The 24,118-nt window shown below is 39.5% G+C and overlaps 1 protein-coding gene and 1 pseudogene across 11 annotated transcripts in view, besides 2 other annotated features; both read left to right on the top strand.

Moving 5' to 3' along the window:
- The window catches only part of DNAH7 (dynein axonemal heavy chain 7), a 331,135-nt gene continuing 317,380 nt past the window's right edge, over positions 10,364-24,118 (top strand). For 10 of the 11 annotated variants that reach the window (XR_922968.4, XM_011511488.4, XM_017004504.3 and 7 more), the window contains exons 1-2: positions 10,364-10,504; positions 21,085-21,147. Coding sequence is in view for 9 of the 11 variants with exons in the window: in XM_011511488.4 (XP_011509790.1) it covers positions 10,490-10,504; positions 21,085-21,147 (78 nt within the window). In the remaining 2 variants the exon portion in view is untranslated. Of the gene's footprint in view, positions 10,505-21,084; positions 21,148-22,967; positions 23,109-24,118 lie in introns of those variants that run through there. The other variant, XM_011511489.3, reaches the window with a different exon arrangement.
- Positions 10,453-10,542: an enhancer, noted in NCBI's record as "active region_16891". NCBI's record gives its function as "activates an Ori minimal core promoter by ATAC-STARR-seq in GM12878 lymphoblastoid cells {active_cell/tissue: GM12878}" and the evidence as "EXISTENCE:reporter gene assay evidence [ECO:0000049][PMID:35858748]".
- Positions 11,023-11,072: an enhancer, noted in NCBI's record as "active region_16890". NCBI's record gives its function as "activates an Ori minimal core promoter by ATAC-STARR-seq in GM12878 lymphoblastoid cells {active_cell/tissue: GM12878}" and the evidence as "EXISTENCE:reporter gene assay evidence [ECO:0000049][PMID:35858748]".
- On the top strand, positions 15,238-15,855 carry LOC100420572 (glutathione S-transferase alpha 5 pseudogene; annotated as a pseudogene).

Genomic DNA, 24,118 nt, shown 5'->3' with positions numbered 1-24,118 from the left:
CATGGAACGTGATGAAGTACAGCACATTCTCAAAGTCCACAGACATAAGGTTGAGAGGCAATTCTTTGGACACTTGACTTACAGTAAGCCTATTACTGGAATTCCAAGGGAGGAAGAGTTGTTTCTTCAAATAAAAATTAGCTGGTTTATATGTTGTTGCTTTGCATTGCCCAAGGGAAAAATGACTAAGGTATCACCTGAAAATATAGTACATTATTAGCATATATAAAAGCCTTTTAGCAAAACCTGATTTAAAAAATATGTCAGGCTACTTTCTAAACATATGTAATTTGTTCCAGTGTTTTTTGTTTTGGAGACAGGGTCTCCTTCGGTTGCCCAGGCTGGAGTGCAGTGGCATGATCACAGCTCACTACAGCCTACAGCCTCAATCTCCTGAGCCTAAGCAATCTTCCCACCCCAGCCTCCCAGTAGCTGAGACTACAGGTGCTTGCCACCATGCCTGGCTAAGTTTTGTATTTTTTGTAGAGACAGGATCTCACCATGTTGCCCAGGCTGGTCTCCAACTCCTGAGCTCAGGTGATCTGCCCGCCTTGGCCTCCCAAAGTGCTGGGATTACAGGAGTGACCCACCGTGCCTGGCTTGTTCCAGTTTTATAATACATGACTGTATTTCTTGATGATTGTAAAAATAATCAAACTTTAAAATATTCTATGATTCTGTGGTAAGAGTAGTTCTGTAGGAAAAAAGGATTTTTCTATTTTCCTGATTTACAGGTGACTTTATCTCCCTCTAGTGTTCAAAGAAACTAATGCAATCATTTGTGTTTTTCAGGTCTGGTTGTGATTAGCTGAAGGTCAATGTGTGGTAATAAAGCAACATCATTATTTGTTTTCATGGGAATTGGTCCATACATAGCTCAGGGTTTTCACAAACAAATACCACACGCATGAACTGTCAACCACATTTTGTAGGGTTCTTTTATATCTCAGTTATCTATTATAACTCTAACTTTGTGCTTGCATAATTCTTTGATAAAATATGATAAAATATGTTGACAAAATATGTTATTTTTAAATTTCAAGTTTCCAGAAAGAGAAAACAACAGCCCCCAGGGCTTGGTCCTTAAACCATCTTTCTTTCTTTTTTTTATTTATTCTATCTCGTTTGATGATCTCATCTAATCTCATGACTTCAATGACCGTCTATATTTAGATGAACTTTGAATCTATACCCTGACAGGAGCTGCACCCAGACCAGGATGGTTTCCTGCCTCTTCAGCATCTCAACTGGATGCCTACTAGGCAACTGAAACTTAACATGCTTAAAACTGAGTTTTTAAGAAATAATCCCACCAAAAAGTGGGCAAAGAATATGAATAGACAGTTCTCAAAAGAAGAGATACAGCCAATAAACATGTGAAAAAATGCTCCACATCCCTAACCATCAGGGAAATGCAAATTAAAACCACAATGAGATACCACCTTACTCCTACAAGAATGGCCATAATTAAAAAGTCAAAAAACAATAGATGTTGGTGTGGATGTGGTGAAAAGGGAACAGTTTTACACTGCTTGTGGGAATGTAAATTAGTACAACCATTATGGAAAACAGTATGGAGATTCCTTAAAGAGCTAAAAGTAGAGCTGTTAGGTAGTTAGGTAGACATTAGCAGCTCGGAGGGGGTGAGAGAAGAAAGCAGAAGGGCTGTCACTAAGACAGGCCCTGGCCCACCTAAATTCAGCCCCCAAATCACCATAGCTCCACCCTAATGGACAGAATTTGTGATAAAGTCTGTGGCCAGCACATCCTGGGGAAAGAAAAACTGGGGCACAGATAAAAATTTCCTAATGTGACACATGCCCCGTCCATCTAGGCCAGGGGTTTTCCAAGCTTTTGGCTTCCCTGGGCCACATTGAAAGAATCATCTTGGGCCATGCATAAAATACACTAACACTAACAATAGCTGATGAGCAAAAAAAAAGAAAAAAGAGAAAAATTGCAAAAAATCTCATAATGTTTTAATAAAGCTTACAAATTTGTGTTGGGCCACATTCAAAGCTGTCCTGGGCCACATTTGGACAAGCTTGATCTAGGCCATAACCCTGGGGAACCCCATCCTTATTATACAGTCATTATAGTAAAATTTACTTGTGGTTTTGCCCCTCTGAGTGGGCTTTTCTTAACGAAAGATCGGTAAAAACATGCTCAGTTTAACTTCAGCTATGTAACTATAAACTGCCAATCAAATGACATCATCCTGTCACTCAAACACAGCCCAGGCCTCAACTCCTCCCATAAAAGCATCCTGAGCTCTGCAAAGAGTGGCTGATTTCACTTCGTAGAAGTTGGCCCACTCTCCCTTTGAGAGTGTATTACTGTGCCTTAATGAACTTTGCTTTGAGCTTGCACTTTGCTGTTAGTTTGCATTTCTTTGCTCACTATCACAAGAACTGAGATTGCTGGTCCAGAGCTCCAGCTCTGTTGATCTCGGTTAAAGGATCCATCCCAAGGCAGCATCCCTGGTAACAGAACTACCATTCCATCTAGCAATCCCACTACTGGGTATCTACCCAAAGGAAAAAAAGTCATTATATAAAAAAGACACATGCACACCCATGTTTATAGCAGTACAATTCACAGTTGCAATAATATGGAACCAACATAAGTACCTATCAACCAATGAGTGGATAAAGAAGATGTGGTATATATACACCATGAGTGCTACTCAGCCATAAAAAAGGAATAAAATAATGTCTTTTGCAGCAACTTGGATGGGTCTGGAGGCCATTATTCTAAGTGAAGTAACTCAGGAATGGAAAACCAAATACTGTATGTTGTCACTTATAAGTGGGACCTGAGCTATGAGGACACAAAGGCATAAGAATGATATAATGGACTTTGGGGACTCAAGGTGGGAGGGGGTGAAGGATAAAAGACTACATATTGGGTACAGTGTACATTTCTTAGGTGACAGGTGTACTAAAATCTCAGAAATCACCACTAAAAAAAACTGAATTTTAAATTTAATTTCCTTCCTTCCTTCCCTTCTTTCCACTTCCTTTCCCCCTCCCCCTTTCCCTCCCTTCTCCCCTCGCCTCCCTTCCTCTCTCCTTTCCTTTCCTTTTTTTGACAGTCTTGCTCTGTTGCACAGGCTGGAGTACACTGAGGCGACCTCGGCTCACTGCAAACTCTGCCTCCTGGATTCAAGCGATTCTCATGCCTCAGCCTCCCAAGTAGCTGGGATTTACAGGCTTACACCATGACACTCAGCTAATTTTTGCAGCATGTTGGCCAGGCTGGTCTGGAACTCCTGACCTCAGGTGATCCACTGGTCAAGGCCTCCCAAAGTGCTGGGATTACAGGCATGAGCCAACACACCCAGATGAGTTTTAAATTTTCTTTCACCTTCCAACATGTCTTTCTGCTTCCTGGCCTTCCTCATTTTAAGGCACAACCATCCACCAAGAGGTTCAGGCAAAAAAAAATAACCCTAGGAGTAATTTTACCTTATCATCATCCCTTACATCTATTCTAGCAAGTCCTAGCAGATTTTCTTCCAAAATATATCCCTGATTTGTCCTCTTCTCTCCATCTTTCTAATTTTGCCTCCTTCTAGTTTAAGCCACCATTGGTATTTCCCGGGCCTATTCCAGTAGGCTCCTAATTGGCTTTCCTCCTACCCCTCTTGCCCTGTTTGCGTTTATGATTTCTCCATGTAATTAAAATAACATCCTTCCTCACTATGGTCCTGGCCTTCTTCAGGCCTTTGGACATTTCAAACTCATTCCCCTACTTGGACCTGTGATCTAGCTGCTCTTTACTTCCTGGGAAACTCATTTCCAAAGTATTTGAATGGCTGGCTCATTTTGGTCATTCAGATCCCAGCTCAAATGTCTCCTGGAAGATGTGTTCATTGATGACAGTCTCTCCCATTACCTTGTTTCATTTTCTTTTTGGACTTTTTACCAACTCAAATTATTCATTTATTAATTTACTTATTTTTTTCTCACTAATTTTCCATTTCTCTTTCCTAGAACAGAAACTGGGATCTTGGCTGCTCTCTGTATCTCTCATGCCTAGAATGGTGTCTGGCCTACTGCAGGTAGGAAATATTTGTTGACTGAGCAAGATGAGGATAATGAGTACAAGTATCAGTTCACAAAGAGAGAAGCATGGCAAAACAACAACAACAAACCAGATTCTGGACTCTGTTTTAAGTTGTACATTTGATTTTCCCAATCTTATACTCCATCCTAAGGTAACAAAAAAGCTGCCACACTGCCTCAAAGGAGGATGTAAAATAAGCTCTAGCACTCCTTGCTTCCTTCCACACATGCTACAGTTTCAAAAGCAGGAGGTAAAAAAAAAAAAAAAAAAGTAGTAACAAATAACAACATAAAAAGTCAGAACTCAGCAGCTGCATAAGCTTACACAATATATTTTAAGGGAAAAAAAAAACATAGTCTTGTAAAAAATTCCCTTAGAATCAGCACAAGTTTGGGCATAAAATTCCTAAGCAAACATTTGGTTCATGTCTAATAAAATCATTTTAGCAAAAAACATCCAAACCATAAGAGAAAACACAAGATCATAAATGTAACTGAAGTTCAAGCTCAGGGAACCAAAATATCAGTAATTCAATTTCTTTTCTTTATTTGGTCTTTCATATTTGGTTAAATGGAGGAACCAGTTTTAGTCCCCAGATACCTTCTTTTAAAATGGACTTCCATATTTATAGATTAGTAAACCAAAAGCATACAGACAGCTTTACCCAAATCAAGCACTAAGTGCAAAAGAGGATCTTTCAAGAGACAAATGACAAGATTGATAAAGTTCCTTTTTATAATTTGTGAGATACAGTGGTCCAACATGTCTAAACAAAAACTTCATTCAGAATATTTTGAGAACTGTATTGATTCTTATCAGGATTTTGCGCTGGTCTTAACCTGAACAGTGGGGACAGAGATTAGCTAGCTTATTTCTCCCATCTCAGCATTCAGTATAATTGGTGACATTACTGATTATTGTGAGAATTACTCTAAGAAGTCAGTGCTGAAAGCCACATTCCTCTTGCTTGACAGGGATCACGATAACTGACAAATACAAAGGAATTGTCCTTGCCAATTTTTAAAAAATTACTTTCCTTCCATAATTCTGGCAAGATACCCACCCAAAGACAAATTTAGAAACAGGATTCTGCAAATCAGAGGTTGACTCCAGGGTTGACCTGAAAATAGAGGTTGACTCCAGCTATATATGGTGGCCTAGTGGAGGCAATGTAGCAAGTCAGAATAGCCTGATGTTTGTAGATTTCAACGATGGCTTTTGAGATTGAAGGTGAATGGACAGTGAGATAGCAGAGGATTGAAGAAGGAAAGCTGGCAGATGGTAAAGAGTGGAAGGTGGATGGCTAATGTTTTTAGGCTCATCTGTGTCTCATGCTGTTGCTGTGAATCCCTCAGTGTCTCCTGGCCTGCTCATGTGGACTATGACCCTCCATGAAGCAATCCAGTTAACCTTGAACTTTTGCCAAGAATCTGAAACTCCTTCTAAACACCTCGGAACTGCTGGGACTAGTTCTTTTGGCATCAGGTTGGCAGCTGCTAAACGTAGTACACCTTTATATCTGTTGGTTATTGCCTGTGGAGTAAACCCTTGAGGCAATCTTTTTTTTCTTAAGTGCTTTTTGCTTCTAATTGGCTGACTGAACCCCCTAGTACTTTACTGACTTTCAACGCTTATCACTGTACCCTTAGGCTATGAAACAAAACTACATCTTCAACCCATTCTGAGAACTCTATTCTTATCTCCAGGTCTTTAATGAAATTTGTCTCTCCCTCAAGCCTATTTCTGTTTAGGCTTTTCCATTCTTCCAAGTTTGGGATATGGGGTCTGCAACATTTATCTTCTGTTTTCCACTATGAATTCTTACTAATCTTAGGCTCATAGCATCTCCTCTCCTTGACTCAGCTTCATTCGTTGAAGACATCGGCTCACAGTTCTCCCCTACGCTATGCTACTTCAGCATCCATGCGAACAGCCATAGCTTGAGGAACTTAGTTCCTTGACCTTCCATGGCAAAGTCCTTTACTTCAGTCCCCACTTCTGTGGCCACACTGGGGACATTCTCAACACCTGGAATAGCTCTACTTCTGAAATCACAGAGACAATACCCTCACTGCTTCACTTTGTGTTTTGAGAGTTAGTTTCTCTCACTATGTCACCCTTTCTGAGACCCTCTCCATCCCATTCCCTTTCTCCACAGTTAACAGTCCTTTCTTCCTCTACTCATTATTTTAGTTTCTGTGATTTTTTATTTCAACTTCACTCTTATCAGATTCTCTATTCTCATGCTCTGTTCTCCTGTTATACCAGCCTGGGAAAGACACTGTGTGTTTGTCTTCTCTGAACCTAAGTCTGGTCTGTTGAAGACCTTTGGAGAGTGGTGCAGAGCCAAGTGGATAGTGGCTGGCGCTGATTCAGAGGCTTCAACTTCAGCTGAGCTTTTCCTCTATTTCTTTAATCACTTTTGTTCTCTCTCCATTTCTGCCACATAGTCATTGAAACTTCTTCCTCCTCAAATTTTTGACCATCCCCTGCCTCCTACCTTTCTTCTCGTTCTTGAAAGGTGATTTTGCTTTCTATACCACAGAAAAAATAAAATTCATTTTTTTTGGGGGGGGATGTCCCCAACTACACACAAGCAAGCTTTAAACACCCACATTTCCACTCATCCTTCCTTCTTCTTCCTTTTACAAGGCGTGCTTATAAGATCTCTCCATCTGAAATTAATCCTATCTCCTTTTACTTTTTCCTCTATCTTCATCTTCTCCTTTCCTATTTGCATTTAAACACAAACAAAACTTTCCTATTTGAAAAAATATAGTGCCTCTCTCCCTGAATCCATTCAGTCCCCAGTCTATCTCTCTTATTCATAACCTAAACTTTCTGAAGATTGTCTATTCTGGCAGTCTCCCTCCTTTCACTCTTCAGCCTCTGGAATCTGGCCCCAAATCCTCCCACTGCATTGTACTGAAACTCCTTTGCCATGTTCACCAATGACTTCCTTGGCACTCTATCCAATGGATACTTTTAAATCCTTAGATTACATATTGTCAGAAGCTTTTGATACTGTTCTCTATATTCTTTTTCCTGAAATATTGTTTTTCTTTGTTTCTATGATTCTATATTCTGAGTTCCCTGTTATATCTAGCTACTTTTTCTCGATTTTCTTTGCAGGATCCCCCTCTATCCAATTCATAAAGATTGGTAGTGTTTAGGTTTTAGTTTTTTCTTTACTAGGTTCCTTTCCGTTCTGTCCCTACATACTCCTTGAACCATTTCATGTATGCTCATGGATTCAGATGTCATTTATATGTAAGCCTCAGATCCATGTCCTTAGCCCAGGAATTATCTTCTGAGCTCTGACCAATATGTGCAGTGTCTACCAGCCACATACACACTTCCATGTCCTATAGATATCTCACACTCAATCTGCCCAATGCTGGACTTATCACTTTCTCTGTAAAGCCTGTTTATTCTCCTCCTTTTTCTTACTCAGTGAACGATACCACCATCCATTCAGGTATCCAAAGCAGTAAAATGATCCTCAACCTTTTACCTTTAAACATCCACATCTTAAGTCATCTCCCACATATCTCTTGAATGTGTCCACTCCATTCCTACTGTCATTGGCTCAGTTCCAGCCATCCTCATCCCTCACTGTACTCTTGTAATAGTCTTCTAACAGGTTTCTCTGTTACTGCCAGTCCCACCTACCTACTATCCCTCTACCATGCTGAAATTAGGGTGATTTCTGTAAAATGGGAATATGATCTTGTCATTTTTCCTTCTTTATTTTTTGGTTTCAGTTTTCCTCCTCTTACTTTAAGGATATTTAAAACAAATTTCTAAAATTATGGTAAAACATATATAACATAAAATTTATCATTCTAACCATTGTCAAGTGTACGATTCAGTGGCATGAAGTCCATTCACATTGTGGTGCAACCATCACCATCGTTCGTCTTCAAATTTTTTTTCATCTTGCATAATTGAAACTCTGTACCCATTAAACATTAATTCCTCATTCCCTTTCTTGGCCCTCCCTCTCCCAGTCCCTGGCAACCACCATTCTAATTTCTTTCTATATACATTTGGTTACTCTATGTATTTCAGATGAGTGGAATCATACAGTATTTCTTTCTTTTGTGACTGGCTAATTTCAGTTATAATGTCTTCAAGGTTTATCCATGTTGCAGCAGATGTAGCAATGTATCAGAATTTCCTTCCTTTTTAAAAGGCTGAATGTATATGCTACATTTTGTTTATGCATTTGTCTATCAAGGGACATTTGGGTTGCTTCACCTTTTGACTATTGTGAATAATGCTGCTATAAATATGAGCATATATATACATATATGTATATATATATGTATGTATGTTTGTGTCCCAGCTTTCACTTCTTTAGGTTTGTACCAGAAGTGGAATTGTTGGATCATAATATATTTCTATTTTAATTTTTGGAGGAACTGCCATACTGTTTTCCATACCAGCTGCACCATTTTACATTCCCACCAGTGGTGCACAAGAGTTCCAATTTCTCTACATCCTCATTAACACTTGTTAATATTCTGTACATTAATCCCTCATCAGATTTGCAAATATCTCCTTCCATTCTGTGGACTTTTTTTTTTTTTTTTTTGAGACGGAGTATCACTGTGTCGCCCAGGCTGGAGTGCAGTGGTGTGATGTCGGCTCACTGCAACCTCCGCCTCCTGGGTTCATGCCATTCTCCTGCCTCAGCCTCCCGAGTAGTTGGGACTACAGGTGCCCACCACCACACCCGGCTAATTTTCTGTGTGTGTTTTTAGTAGAGACAGGGTTTCACCATGTTAGGCGGGATGGTCTCGATCTCCTGACCTCGTGATCTGCCTGCCTCGGCCTCCCAAAGTGCTGGGATTACAAGCGTAAGCCAACACACCCGGCCTGTGTGGATTGTCTTTTTACTGATGAGAGTATTCTTTGATGCACAAAGGTTTTTTATTCTGATGCAGCCGAATTGTCTATTTTTTCCTTGTCGTTTTGGTGTCATGTCCAAGAAATCACTGCCAAATCCAATGTCGTGAAGCGATTCTTCTAAGTTTTCTTCTAAGAGTTTTATAGTTTAAGACCTTACAGTTACATCTTTGATCAATTTTGAGATAATTTTGTATATGATGTTTTTAGGTAAAGGTCCAACTGCATTTTTTTCCGCATATGGACATTTAGTTTCCCCAGCATCATTTGTTGAAAATAAATTGTTAAGGTCACTATAGTCTTGTAGTAAGTTCTGAAATCAAGAAGTGTGAGTACTCCAACTTTGTTCTTTAATTTCAAGATTGTTTTGGCTATTTATGACCCCTTGGGGTTCCTTGTTAATTTCAGGATGGAATTCTGCCATTTCTTAGCATAAAACTTTTCAGTGGAGGTCAGTTGCTTTTGACATCCAAACTCCTGCCCTTTTATAGGGTCCTTTAAGATATATCACCTGCTTATCACCTCAGCTTCTTCTCTAGACTGGCTCCAATCCCCTTTATCCAAACCTACTCATCGACCTCTCAGAACCATTTTCACTGCTTCCAATAGCTATGCTCTCTTGTCTCAGGCCTTTGTATGTGACCTGCTTTTTGCCCGGCATTCTTTGCCTGGCATTTCTTCTTCCTTCACATTTCAGCTTCCACATCCCTTCCATGCCCTCCATGAGAAAATTAGTTGGTGCTTTATGTTCTCACTGAGGACTGCCATTCTTAGCACCGTCTCCACTACACGGTAAGTGCTTGGCTTGGACACCCCCCAGCCTGTGGCGAATGGATGTCTTGGTCACATTTGTGCTTAGCACACCACTTTTCATGTAGTAAACCATCTGTGAATGTTGGTTTCAAGAATTGTTGGAAGGTTCCTTTACTGGTATTCTTCCAAAGGATAGTTTTCTGGAGTGTGGGAAGAGTCAACAGCACAGGGGTTGGAAGCACATGAATAATGAAAGGTGTTTACTGGATCCTGCCTCGCATTACTCCACTCGCCCACATTAGCAATGAAATCTGTAATCATTTCATTCCAGTGTTTCTCCGAGACCTCTGAGGGGTTAAGGCAGCAGTCCTGGGCATCCGGCTTATTTAGAAGGAGGGTGCGGAAGTGTGAGGATCTACTTCAGTAATCAGAGGATATTGGAGGAGACCCACCCAGTGTCTTTGGTTATTCAACGCACACCTTAGACCTCACAACACTGGCAGCAGCGCCCCAGAAAGCTCCTCTTGCGGGACCGCGCGCCAGCTTCCGGGTCCAGCCCCAGAAGGAACAGATGACCGGAAATGGAACCTGCGCGGGCCCGTTGCTTAGCAACAAACGCTGCCCGGACGCTAGACGGCTCTGGTGCGGAGGGAGCTGAGACCGCTGCAAGTCCCGGGGCCCTGCCTCTATCGTCCTAGGGGTTCCGCGGGCAGGAGCAACCCAGAAGCACCGGTGAGGCCAGCGCGTCCTCGCAGCCATGAGCAGTGAGCAGGTGAGAGGGCTGCTCTTTGCCAGGCTCGCCGCCGCCGCGACGCTTCCCAGGCGTTTCGGAAGTGGTGGAAGCCCCTCCTGCCTAGCGAACTCCCCAGCTGTGACTCCGCGGTGTACAGCTTCCTTCACCCCACTTGTGGCCTGGGTTACTGAGCGCTTTCCGTGAATGCCCTTATAAGTTCCCTTCCCAGCTGTTTGCCCTTGGTCGTCATAACAACCAAACCTAGCCGCCTAGCGGCGCGCCAGCAGGGGGAGCCACAGCCCAGAGCACCCCCAGAGTGCTAATGGCGGTGTGCTTGGGTGAGAGGCGGCTCTGCGAGGAGTTGCAGCGGGTTTGGGTTCTAAGGTGGGAATCGAAGCCAACTCCTAGCCATGTGACTTTGGACAAATCTCTTAGTCTTTGTAAGCCTTAGTTCTCCCACCTCTTATGCAGAGCGGGGGAAACATCAGAACAACTTTTCTTCTTTTTGAGGTTGTTGTCAATTTCAAATTAGATACCATGCCATACCATAACTATACAATATTATACTATACATGAAAGGCCTTGGTAAGTGACATATGGCACTTCTTAAGATGATATTCCATGGTATGTGATAAAAGATGCACTTTGCAATAGCTGCTTTTCTTTCTCTTTTTTTCTCGTTTTTTTCCTTTCTGTCTTTCTCTCCTTTTTCTTCTAAGAATTCTTTCTTTATTGAACTTAAGAGCAACTAACAGAAAGGCAGAACAATGGTCAGTCGTCTTAATATCAGCACAGAATGGGAAGATATTAAACGTGGTCATTATTCTGGCTAGCTAGAAAATAACTCTAGCTTTCTACGTAGTGATGAATAAGGAAAAGGACTCTATAAACCTCCTGGAAGAAAAACAGTTGTTTTTAAGCCTGCAAATTTCATTTAGCTTTTAAACAATATTAAACGGTAATTATTTCTTTTTTATTGCTTTATAATGCTTTTTTCGGTAGTGTTAGAATTTATTGTGGAAACAGTATTAAAACGGATTTAGTCTCCTATCCATTGAGTTGTACATTACTAACAGAACTATGTGAAGATCCTGATTGGTTAGTTCATCAAATAAGTAATTAATACCTGAAATGCTCAAGAAAATTTGGTTTGAACCTTTTTAAAAAAATAAGTATAATTTAAGAACTAAGAAATGGACACTGATTCATATGCTAAAGTATAATTAGTATTGGTATTAATAATAAAAGAGTAAATGACAAGCAAAAAACAAAAAGTTCAGATACAAGTAACCAAAAACACTGAGCAATTGTTTAATAGATCTTACTAGTTTTTTTCTACATGATATTAATGTAATCAGATTTAAAAAATAACATTTGTTACTGTCACCATTATTATATATTGAGCAGCTTCTTTGCTTGTTGCCCAAGTTAGTCTTCGGCCAGATCTTGAACCATATCCTACGTTGTTAGAGTTTAAAATACACTTTTACCACATTTCCAATGGTATTTCTCAATAGCTGTTTTTCACAATTCCCCTAACTTACCCATCTACAACTAAAAAGTATCCACAAAAAACCCACCAGCCGTTAAGTTCTAAATTTTGCTTCATCTTTATAAAAGTGATGTTGGGAAATGACACCCTAGTCTCTCACTCCCCCTCCAGAAAGGTTGTGATTTATTGAAGAGGCAGCGGGATCTTAAAAGAATGGACATGATTTCCATTTTCCACTTACTATTTTTGAACAGCAGAGGGCCCTCTATCACTGTTTTGGTTGATTTGTAATTTAAAAACTAATCTTGAGAATTTCATTTATGCTAATTTAGAGTGTAGCTTTCCTTTGGAAGGATGAAAGTTTTTATGTTTTAACCTAAAACAAACAGAATGGATTAAACTTCTGGAAATGCCATTTTTTATGTGACATTTACTTGTATATTCATTCAGTTTGAGAAAGTGAGCAGGTGGTAAAATCGTATTTGCTGAAGGAGATTTTAACATATTCATCTCATTAGTGGAAGGTTGAGAGTGACATGGAATTTTTCAGGAATAGCAGTCTGGGCTTTTCTCTTAAATTAGGCATTTAGAAGAAATGTAAATCTTTTGCAATTGCTCATTTCATTTTTAAAATGAGTTAAAACTTTAAAAGGCATTTTTAGTATCAGTTGAAAAACTTTGAGAGGTTTAAAGGCACAAATATCCGAAGACCAGGAAGCTCCCCACAGATATACTACAGATTGTGGGCAGAGAAGAGGAAAAAGCTGTCAGTCTTTTTCTACCCCAGCACTTTTTCTAGTTATGGAATCAAGTAATTTGTGTTTATATGATGTGATGCTCATTCCATTTTCCTTCATCATGTTTTTGAAATGTCATTGCTTAAAAAGGGGAAAGAATGAAAAAAGTTGGATATGAGACCAACAGCATGGTGATAACTTTAACAACCAGAACTCAAACGTGTGACAACTGACAACTATATTTAAATCAGTACTATGAAATTTTGAGAGGTTATTGTTGATTTAACCAGACACATTTATAGATTCTAGTCATTTGATCAGGAGGGTTAATACTTGGGCTATCCCAGGTTTATGACATCTCTTCCAGCAGTCAAGTAGGTGAAAATCAGTGAAGTAAAAACAAAATGCAAAGCCAGGCTATTTAAGGAAGACCCAGACTCCTTAGCAATTTTAATTTTAGAATGTAAAATTATATTAGTCAGGATCCCAACAGAAAACAGATGGCATACTCAAAAGGACTTAACTGAAGAACATTTATAAAAAGACCATTTGTAGAGGTGTTGGTAAGGTTAAAAACTAATCTTGAGAATTTCATTTATGCTAATTTAGAGTGTAGTTTTCCTTTGGAAGCATGAAAGGTAAGGTTAAGAGAACCACGAGGGATGAAGAGACACTCAAGGATTAACAGCAGTAGGACAGTAGGATGCCATTACCATGGCTAGGCCTGATGGGTCATTGAAACTGAACATTATTCTCAGACCCTGATGAGTGCTAGACGCTTGGAATGGTAGCTTCCTGACAGGAGCTGAGGTCTGGAAGAATTCAGCCACTATCAGAACAACAGGGAACAGGGAAGACTAGGAAACAAATATCCTAAACTTTCTGCCCTCCTGCTCTTCAGTCTCCTCCTGGTGCCTTTTTTGGATAATTCCTATTAGAAGTCAGAGAACTGAAGGCACAGATGATGTCCATCTGTAGAATTCAGCCTCCCAGGCACAGAGCAGGAAGAAGAGGGTAAAGAATTGATCTGAGGCAGAGCACAACCATCACAGACATTATTATAAATGGATGCAATCTTCATAGTTCCCTGTCCATAAATCAGTTGGATTAACAGTTGTTGAGTTCCTATGATGAATTTTTCATTTAAAATATTTATACCTAAGAATAAGTCTAAAAAAGACATATGACACCCTTATGAAGACTACTACAAAATGTTTCTGAAGGATATGCTCCCAGAATCTGAATAAGTAAAGAAATACATTGTGTTCAAAAGAGAGAAGAGTCAGTATTCAATGTGTTTCTATCATTGTCCTAAAAAATTTCATGCAGTGTAGATCCTAAATTTCACATGGTAGAAAAAAGGTCAAGATTGTTTACGATAATTTTTAAGAAAGGTAAAGTGGAGGGAATTGCCCTACAGATATCAAGACCTATCAGGAATCATAGTAAATTAGGCAATATAATACAAATTTTTTTATGGATAATAAACCAATGGAATTAAAGGGACAAAACAGAGATGCACATATATATTTATGTTACATATACACACATATGTATGTATATATGAGATACATGCCTAAGAACTGTGTGTGTTTATACTAAAATACATGCCCAAGGAGTTCGCTGAGACATCTTTTGTAATAGAGAAACATTGGAAATAAGTTAAATGTTCATTCGCTAGAGAATGGAATGGATACATTGTACTATGCTCACAGAGTACTATACAGCTGTGAAAATCATTGAGAAACGTATTAATGGGGATACATTTCAAAAATGTAATATTAAAAAGCATGTTGCAGAAGGATACAAATTGTGTGATGGCATTTATATAAAATTTAAAATCATGTAGTAACAATATCTTAGATTGTTTGACAATCATATGTAGTAATAAGTGTAGTAAAAATTTGCATAGGAATGATAAACACAAAATTCCAGGATGGCAAAGAGTTGGGTTGAAGATACATAAGTGTTCATGATGCTATTTTCTGTATGTTTGAAATATTTCCTAATTTTAAAGAGAATAAGACGTGAGTAAATATAGATAGTCTGCACAGACAATGTTGGTACAGGAAACAGATAAATTAATTGGGTGATAATTGGAGTGAAAAGCACAATTGAAGGTTTTGTTTTTCTTTTTATTATTTATTTATTATTTATTATTTATTTATTTATTTATTTATTTATTTATTTTGAGACGGAGTCTCACTCTGTCACCTAGGCTGGAGTGCAGTGGCACGATCTTGGCTCACTGCATCCTCCACCTCCCAAGGTTCACGCCATTCTCCTGCCTCAGCCTCCTGAGTAGCTAGGACTACAGGCACCCGCCACTACGCCCAGCTAATTTTTGTATTTTTGGTACAGATGGGATTTCACCATATTGGCCAGGCTGGTCTCAAATTCCTGATGTTATGATCCGCCTGCCTCAGCCTCCCAAAGTGCTGCGATTACAGGCATGAGCCACCGCGCCTGGCCTCCTTTCTTTTTAAAAATAAACATTCTTGGAGCTTCCAGATAGCTGAACAGAAAATCTTGAGCCAGGAGGCATGGCAGCCAAACCCAAGCTCTACTACTTTCATGTCAGGGGCAGGGTGGAGTCAGTCCTCTGGCTGCTGGCTGCAGCTGGAATAGAGTTTGAAGAAGAATTTATTGAAACAAGATAATAATATGAAAAGTTGCAGAAGGATAGACGCCTGCATTTTGGCCAAGTGCCTTTGGTTGAAATTGATGGAATGATGCTGACACTGACTACAGCCATCCTCAGCTATCTTGCTGCTAAGTACAATGTCTGTGGAAAGGACCTGAAGGAGAGAGTCGGGATCAACATGTGTGCTGAGGGCACCCTGGACCTGATGATGATGATGGCGCTGGCCCACTGAGGAAAAAGAGGAGAACCTTGCTCAGTTGTGAAGAAAGCTAAAACCCAGTACTTGGCCATCTTTGAAAAGATTTTGAAAGACCATGGAGAGGATCTTCTTGTTGGCAACAAATTCAGTTGGGCAGACATACAACTGTTAGAAGCTGTTCTAATAGTAGAAGAACTCAATGCTTCTGTTCTTTCTGACTTCCCTCTGTTGAAGGCGTTTTAAACAGGAATCAGCAACATCCCCAGAATTAAGAAATTCCTGCAACCTGGGAATCAGAGGAAGCCACTCCCTGATACCCAATATGTTGAACTAGTTAGAAACATTCTGCAGTTCTAGTGGCAGCAGGTCACATGATGGCAAGAATTAACGATCCAACCACAGTATCAGCACATGCCTTCCGTAGTGGATAATAGAAGCAAACTGTAGATCCTAGGAGGAAAGTGTCTGAAAAGAACCAACCTGGCCAGGCGTGGTGGCTTATGCCTGTAATCCCAGCACTTTGGGAGGCTGAGGTGGGTGGATCACCTGAGGTCAGGAGTTCGAGACCAGCCTGGCTAACGTAGCGAAACCCCATCTGTACTCAAAATACAAAAATTAGCCAGTGTGGTGGCACACGCCTGTAATCCTAGCTACTCGGGAGGCTTAGGCAGGAGAATGGCTTGAACCCAGGAGGTGGAGGTTGCAGTGAGCCGAGATTGCGCCACTGCACTACACCCTGGGTGATGGAATGAGACTCTGTGTCAAACAAACAAAAAACAAAAACAAAACCATGCTGCCATTAACAGCAAATGTTGATTAAATATAACATTAAAACAAAAATAAAAGTAAACATTCTTTATTTGAATGTTGATGGGAGTTCTGTAGCATAAAGGGAGGCATTGCTAATTCAAGGAAGAAGGAGGATTATCAGAAAAGCACTGTCTTCAATAAAGTGAAAGGAGATGGAGGGATTGGCCTGTGATCGTAGGGGCGATAGTGTCCCCAACTGCTTGTAGATGAAGGATAGAAGAACAATGAAGGTGTGATCGTAAGTAGGTCTGTAGATTTAGTTACAGGAAGATGGAGGCATTCTCAAGTACTAAAATGATGATGTGTGAGAAACTCTGGAGATAGGTCATTACAAAACTTAGGATACCAAATTTATTAGAAAATCTCAAAAGTTTTCAATGTCTGAGATTACTAATCATGCACTTAAAGTGAATCCAATAGGACTGGAGATGTGATTTTCCTCAGTAATACATACCTACTTGGGTACAAGCATAGAGAAGGTAAGTAGTTGAATTCCAATGGGATTATGGTTTAGTTAAGTATGTGCCAGAGGGAGTTGAGGGTATTTGATAGGGTGTAGTTGTGACTATGGACTGTAGAATCTAAATTGGGCAAGGAGGAAGAGAAGATATGAGGGAGCAGATGGATACTGAGAAGGAGCTTAGATATTAGAGGTCTCAGTCAAAACAAAGAAATATAGGAGGGCATCATATCATACTTGCTGGGAGCAAAGGATGTGGTGGTCAGAGAAAAGAATGTTTTAAAAGCAAGATTTCACAAGAGCTGCCATATTTAGTGATAAGATCTTAGAGGGGTTGCCATGAAAGTCATTGACAGAGATGAAGTGGAAGAGAAGGTTACAGATGAGGAGGTTAAGTAACTAAGAGACTAGGCTGTTAGGTAGATTTAGTCACATGTATATTTTTAAGTCACTGAGACTGATGACCAAGAGTAGAAGCTCTTTTTATTGTAAGTAAGTACGATGGAACTCAAACTTCAAAAAATAAAACAGATTTTTTATGGTTTACTGAACTGGGAAATCCAAGAGAATGGACATCAGAATAGATTCAGGTATGTAATGGACACATGATATAATAAGGATTCTGTCTCCTTTCCTCTTCCCGTTCTTTCTTGATCCCCCATTCTTTCTTTTTCTCCACCCCGATCTCTCTTTCCACTCTCCACTTTCTTTCCAGTTCCTTAGACCATGGTTACAGTAATAATGGATATTGTGAGATGTTGGATCCAGGATATATGTTCTAGGTAAAGCTCAAAGGGTTTACTACTGAATTAAATGTGTGATATGAGAAAAAGGGAGGAATCAAGGATGGTACCAGGGATTTTAGCTTAAATAATGGTGTTAATGGTGATGCCATTTACTGAGTTTAAGAAAATATGGGGAAGTTCTGGTAGGGTTTGTGGGAGTTTATTGATCAAACAATATTTTGGACACATTAAGTTAGAGATGTCTATTTGACCTCTGAGTAGAGAGAGCAAAAATCAAATATAGGAGTGGGGAACTTAGGATAAAGGTTAATACGGGGGAGATAAATTTGGGAGATTCCAGTATATGGGGTAATATTTAAAATATTTGGGCTGGATGGGGTCAATTAGAAAGGAAACATACCTGAGGATTGAGGGATGTCTGTCACACGAAGATCAGAAAATGAGAAGGAACAGGAGAAATAAGATCAAGAGATCTATTATACATCATGATGACTAGACTTCATAAAAATATATCCTTGAAAACTGCTATTAGAGTAGATTTTAAGTGCTCGTACCACAAAAAATAAGTATGTGGGGTAATGCATATGTTAATTAGCTTGATTTAGCCATTCTACGATTTATACATGTATCAAAACACCACATTGTATACCATAAATGTATACAATTTTTATTTGTAAATTTAAAAATGAACTTTAAAAAATGAGAATGAATTGGCAATGAAAAGTTTAAGTGTTCACAGAGTTAGGAAGAGTATAAAATATATAATCATTCTGGAAATTGAGTGAAGACAGTATTCAGGAAGGAGACAGTGATCAACTGTGTCAAAATACTGTTAAAAGATTGAGTAAAATGAGGCCTGAGAATTTACCACAGGACTTGGCATTGTGGAGGTAATCAGAGCTCTTGATGAGAGTGGTATGCAAGGAATAAATACCTCACTGGAGAACATTCTGGAGAAATTGGGAGCAGAAAAATCGGGCAATTGCTAGAGGGAATATAGGATTAAGGCTGATACTTTTTCTGATGGGATTTTAACATGTTTGCATACTAGTGAAAATAATAGGGAGAGAACAAAAGGCACATTAGAGAGAGTTTCAAATTGCTGCAGCAAAAACAATGTCCTTTAGTAGTTGACTGAAAAATGTATTAAAGGCCAAGTGATAGAAATAAAAGTAAATACCACCTTGGCCTCTATAAGGGAAACAACACCAGAGATAAGCAGAAAATCTTTAGACTGAGACAGAAAAGAGATTATCTGTGAATGGAGGACATATACATTGAAAATAAACCTCATTATTTTGGAAAAGAGAGTTTGGGGGATAATGGACAGACTGCAAGTAGATATTTTGAATACTCTGCTCCAAGCCATCTCTCTTTATTGAATGGAAACGTAGTTTTTTTGTTTGTTTGTTTTTGTTTTTCTTTTTTTTGAGACAGTGTCTCTCTCTGTTGCCCAGGCTGGAGTGCAGTGGCTCAATCTTGGCTCACTGCAAGCTCTGCCTCCTGGGTTCACACCATTCTCCTGCCTCAGCCTCCTGAGTAGCTAGGACTACAGGCGCCTGCCACCACACCCGGCTAATTGTTTTTTGTATTTTTAGTACGGACGGGGTTTCACCGTGTTAGCCAGGATGGTTTCGATCTCCTGACCTCGTGATCCGCCCACCTCGGCCTCCCAAAGTGCTGGGATTACAGGCATGAGCCACTGCGCCCAGCCAGAAACATAGGTTTAATATTAACCAGAATGTTAAGAGAGCAGAGACTCTCTGCTCGAAGAGAAGAGCCATCCCTTCCCCAAAGCCTTTAGATTTAAGACCTCATGGGAGAAGGTGTGGCTGTGGCCCAGTGGGTGGACAAACATTTGCTGAGGAGATGCAGGTCTGGGCTAGGAGGAGAAAACTACCTGCTGGGATCCTGAAAGTTTGCAAGGAAGTCTCCCTCTGTGATGTAAGTGAAACTTGTGGAAAGCTGCCCACAGGGATGCTGGCGAAACTTGCTGGAGGGTGTCTGCCTCTGAGTTAGCCTCACACCACAGATTGACAAGGTTGCTGACTGCTGGCAGCCACACCATGGGAGCTATGAGAAAAAGCACTGGAATCAGGAAGAAAGCCTCTTCCTCTTACAGTGCTTCTTGGCACCCATGATAATATGCTGGTTGTCAAAGGAGAAATGTTATAATGTCCTGTGACATATCCCAAAGGAGGGCAAAAAAGGCAGATTTGGAGCTGAGGCAATAAATTGACAACTGGCCAGAAGCACAACTCATATTATCTGCTTTATAGATCAAATTGTCATTTTCAACAAATGCTTCCTCTCACTTAGACAAAACTTCTACCATGGAATTATTCTCTACTGCAAAGGAGATTAGCCCCTTTCTCTTAAGGTTACTGCTAAGAGGTTCAAATGTTACTTATGGCAGCTTGCGGGGGGAAAAACCAGAATACATATTCACCTTAGGAAGTAGACCATTCTAGGAAAAAAAAAATTGAAGTTTTAGTTATAGAGAAGGGAGGTGGGGCCAAGTAAGTTTTGAATAAATTAGATTCAGACAGACTTCCAGAAGATATGCCCAATTCTCCATTAAATTGTCTTGGAACCCTCATGAAAAATCAATTGCCCATAAATGTCTGGGTTTATTTCTGAACTCCTAATTCTATTCCCTTGATCTCTGTTTATCCTTATGCTAGAGCAATGCAGTCTTTATTACTGTAGTTTTGTAGTAAGTCGTAAAATCTCGAAGTGTGAGTCTGCCAATTTGTTCCTCTTTTTCAAGATTGTTTGATTCTTCTTGATACATTTCCATGTTAATTTTATGATCAATTTGTTAATTTCTACAAGAAGGGAAGCTGGGATTTTGATAGGGATTATGTTCCATCTGTAGAATATTTTCAGGGTGTATTGCATCTTAACAATATTAGTCTCCCAATCCATGAACATGGGTTGTCCTTTTATTTATCAAGAACTTTAATTTTTTTCAATAATGTTTTATGGTTTCATTGTATAGGTCTTACACTTTTGTTAAATTTATTCCTAAGTCTTTTATTCTATTTCATGCAATTGTAAATGGAATTGTCTCAATTTCAATTTTGTATTAAATACAATTATATTAAATACAATTGATTTTTAGAATATGTATTATTACTGTTTTATTATAAGGGATACAAATCAGGAAAAAACACGTGGAGAGACACATGGGGATAGGCCTGGGAGAGTCCTGGGTGCGGAGCTTCCATGTCCTCTCCCTGTGGAATTGGGATGCATCGCCCTCCTGGCGTATCCTATATATATTTGATGTTTGTGTGTTGATCTTGTATCCTGCAACCTACCTGGATACAAGAACTCATTGACTAGCTTTAATATTTTTTGATGAATTATTTAAGATTTTCAGTATATAAGATCATGCCATTTGTACAGTATGTTTTAGAATATTTTGGATGATGTATGCTTACAATAAACACTGTAAAATTTGGTTGAGTGAATCAATTTTAGCATTAACGGAGTAAACAGTTTTGTTTTTTCATGTTTTTCATACAGGATAAATCGGCCAGCAAAGAAAAATCCAAGAAACCAGTAAGATTTCTACCACAGCTGTCTATGGTAATTTACCAATATACCATCATACTTCATTCCTTTATGATAATGTTTGTTTACTACTTTTCAAGCTTGAAAGTAAGTTACTGAATTTCTGATTTTAAATTTTATACAATTTTAAATTCCATTTGATTCTTTTCTGATGGAGGAATTCTGTGAGGTACATAGGAAGAATAATAACAATAAAATAACTATAGGCTGTAATTTTCAGGTATGTACAGGATGGTTGGGTCCAGGTTAGATTTTACAGAATAAAATTTGCTGTCTAGGTATGTTGAGTTTAATGCGGTTGAGTTAAACTATTATAACTTCTACAGAAGTTGAGTTTAAGTGGAGTTTCAATTCAAATATTAATTGTTTTGAAACATTTTAAGAGCTCAGCATGAACTGTGTAATGGAATTTGGACTGCTTTATGCAGAGTTGATTCCTAATGTTTTGAAATAAAAAAACTTGGATGAAAATTTTAAGTGTATGATCTTGGACATTTCAAGTACATGTTTTAATTGTGTACTTATTCATATTAATAATACCAAGATTACCAAAAGTTCTACAAAATAGAATCAAAGCATTTTTTTTAGTTCTGCAAATATTTATCTTGTTTCTAGTTTATAAGTAAACCTGAAATGAAATAGACATTTTCTCTTTTAAAAAATTTGACAAATTCTAAAATTGAAAAAAGGTATTAGCTTTTTTGGCGTGTTAAATTTAAATTTACTTGCTGAATAAATATTCAGTGGCTGAGTTGAATAATCTCTTCTAGTCAGCAAGGCATGTAATTGTCTAAAATGCTTTCGTTGGCTGATTTAAAACCTTATATTGTGCTCATGTTTGACTGGCTCTTGTAATTTTCCTTCCGTATCCTTTGAGTTTTATGTCTTTTAAAAGAAATTAGATTTTTAAGAGGTATTTAAAAACATTCATTTATTTAAAAATTTTTATTTGAATATTAAAGTTTGTTCCTGGCTATAAGTTCTTCCGCAGTAATTAAGACATAGAATGATTTTAATTACGGACCTTCGGGCTTCTAGAGGTGAACCCTGTAGTTGAAACTGGCACTGGTGGCTCTCAGCCCCTGTGAGCTGGTGACCTGATTCTCACCCTTTCTGCACACCTCATTCATATCCCTCCCACAAGTCTTAAATCTTTTATGGAACAAGATTAGAGTTGAACAATGAAAGAGCAAATGGAAAGATGAAAGAGCACTGACTTACATGTTTTCCTAGCCTATTTTCCTGTGCACAAGTTATCTGAAACAAGGACTTGTGTGCAGGTAGTGTATTTGAGACGCAATAATAAGAGACTGAGGAGAGTAAAAGTAGGAAGAAGGAAAGGCCACACAACCATGGGCTATCAAGTTGATTAGCACAGTAGGCAACTGGTATGTCCTGCCATGACCTCTGAGCTTATAGAATGCTTCCTGGAATTGATCACCTGAGGAGGGTCAAGGAATAGCATTTATCTGTCATCTTTCATCCTGTATTGGTGAAAGATTGTTCCTGGGGATGTTGACTCCCATCCTCTTCTGGCTGCTCATGTGTGTGAGCAGAGTGGGCTCTTCCTAGAGTCCCATACTGTAGCATTAGAGGATTCCCCCTGCAGAAAAGAAAAAACATTTCTTTTTTCTTTTTTTTTTTTTTTTCAGACAGAGTGCAGTGGCATGATCTTGGCTCACTGCAACCTCCGCCTCCCGGGCTCAAGCAATTCTCCTGTCTCAGCCTCCTGAGTAGCTGGGATTACAGGTGTATGCCACCACGCCTGCCTAATTTTTGTATTTTTAGTAGAGATGTGGTTTCACCATGTTGGCCAGGCTGGTCTCGAACCCCTGACCTCAGGTAATCCGCCCGCCTCGGCCTCCCAAAGTGCTGGGATTACAGGCGTGAACCACTGCGCCCGGCCACAAAAGATATTTTCTTGATGTGAGAAGCTAGCACAGAACTGTTTACTGCAGCCATGTCTGGAATCCAAGGTGAGGCCAGCAGGATGTGAGGCATCATTTGCCAGATGATTTTTCTGACATATGTGTGGCTGCTTGTCTTGGTTAGCTAGAGAAGCACTATTTGTAAAATATTCTATAAGATACATATTCCGCACTGCAATGTAAGAAGAAAACATTAAGGTCCTCACCACCCTTCTTCACCTAGAGTGATGGTGAGACTTGGAGAAATAGCTCAGCAACAGCATGGATGATGCAGAGATCTTAAAAAGTCAGGGTGGTGGCAGTGATGGGGTTGTTGTATAGGAGGCTTGGGTTACATAGGGTGTTTTGGATATTTGTAGTGACTCCAGGACAATAGATGTCATTCGAATTACCTCTGTCCCTGATGTGAAAATTCCAGGGCACTTGGACTAGACATCCCAGAGCCATTCCTCTCTGTCATCTATAACTGCATTCTTCTCAGGCCTTTGCCACACCCTCATTCTCCCCAAAGGGAAGGCTTCAACTCTGAGAACACCTATTGCACCTGTTAGCTTGAAAATGTTGTGCTCATATTTCCCTTCCCATTGTGTAGCCCAGTGGGAATTGTAGAAACCAGAACCATTTGGGTTACAGCATTGTATATGTGTGAAACGTTCCCCTAATCTGGTGCTTGTATTTCAGAAAGTACTGTCTGAAGCTCATTGCACTCTTTCCTTTTCTTTTCCTTTCTTTTCTTTTCTTATCTTTAGTTATCCATTTTTTAGGGCATGGTTAACCATTTTGTAATTTTTTTTTGAGACAAGGAGGTCTTGCTGTGTTGTCCAGGCTGGAGTGCAGTGGTGTGATCATGGCTCACTATAGCCTCTACCTCCTGGGCTTATGTGAGCCTCACCAGTAGCTGGGACCACAGGCATGGGTCACCACGCCTAGCTAATTTTTGTATTTTTGGTAGAGACAGGGTTTCACCATGTTGCCCAGGCTGGTCTTGAACTCCTGGGCTCTAGTGATCCTCCTGCCTTGGCTTTCCAAAAGTGCTGGGATTACAGCTGTGAGCCATT

The sequence above is a fragment of the Homo sapiens genome, chromosome 2 (assembly GCF_000001405.40).
Source record: "Homo sapiens chromosome 2, GRCh38.p14 Primary Assembly".
Lineage (NCBI taxonomy): Eukaryota > Metazoa > Chordata > Mammalia > Primates > Hominidae > Homo > Homo sapiens.
This window is presented reverse-complemented; position numbering and strand designations above follow the sequence as displayed.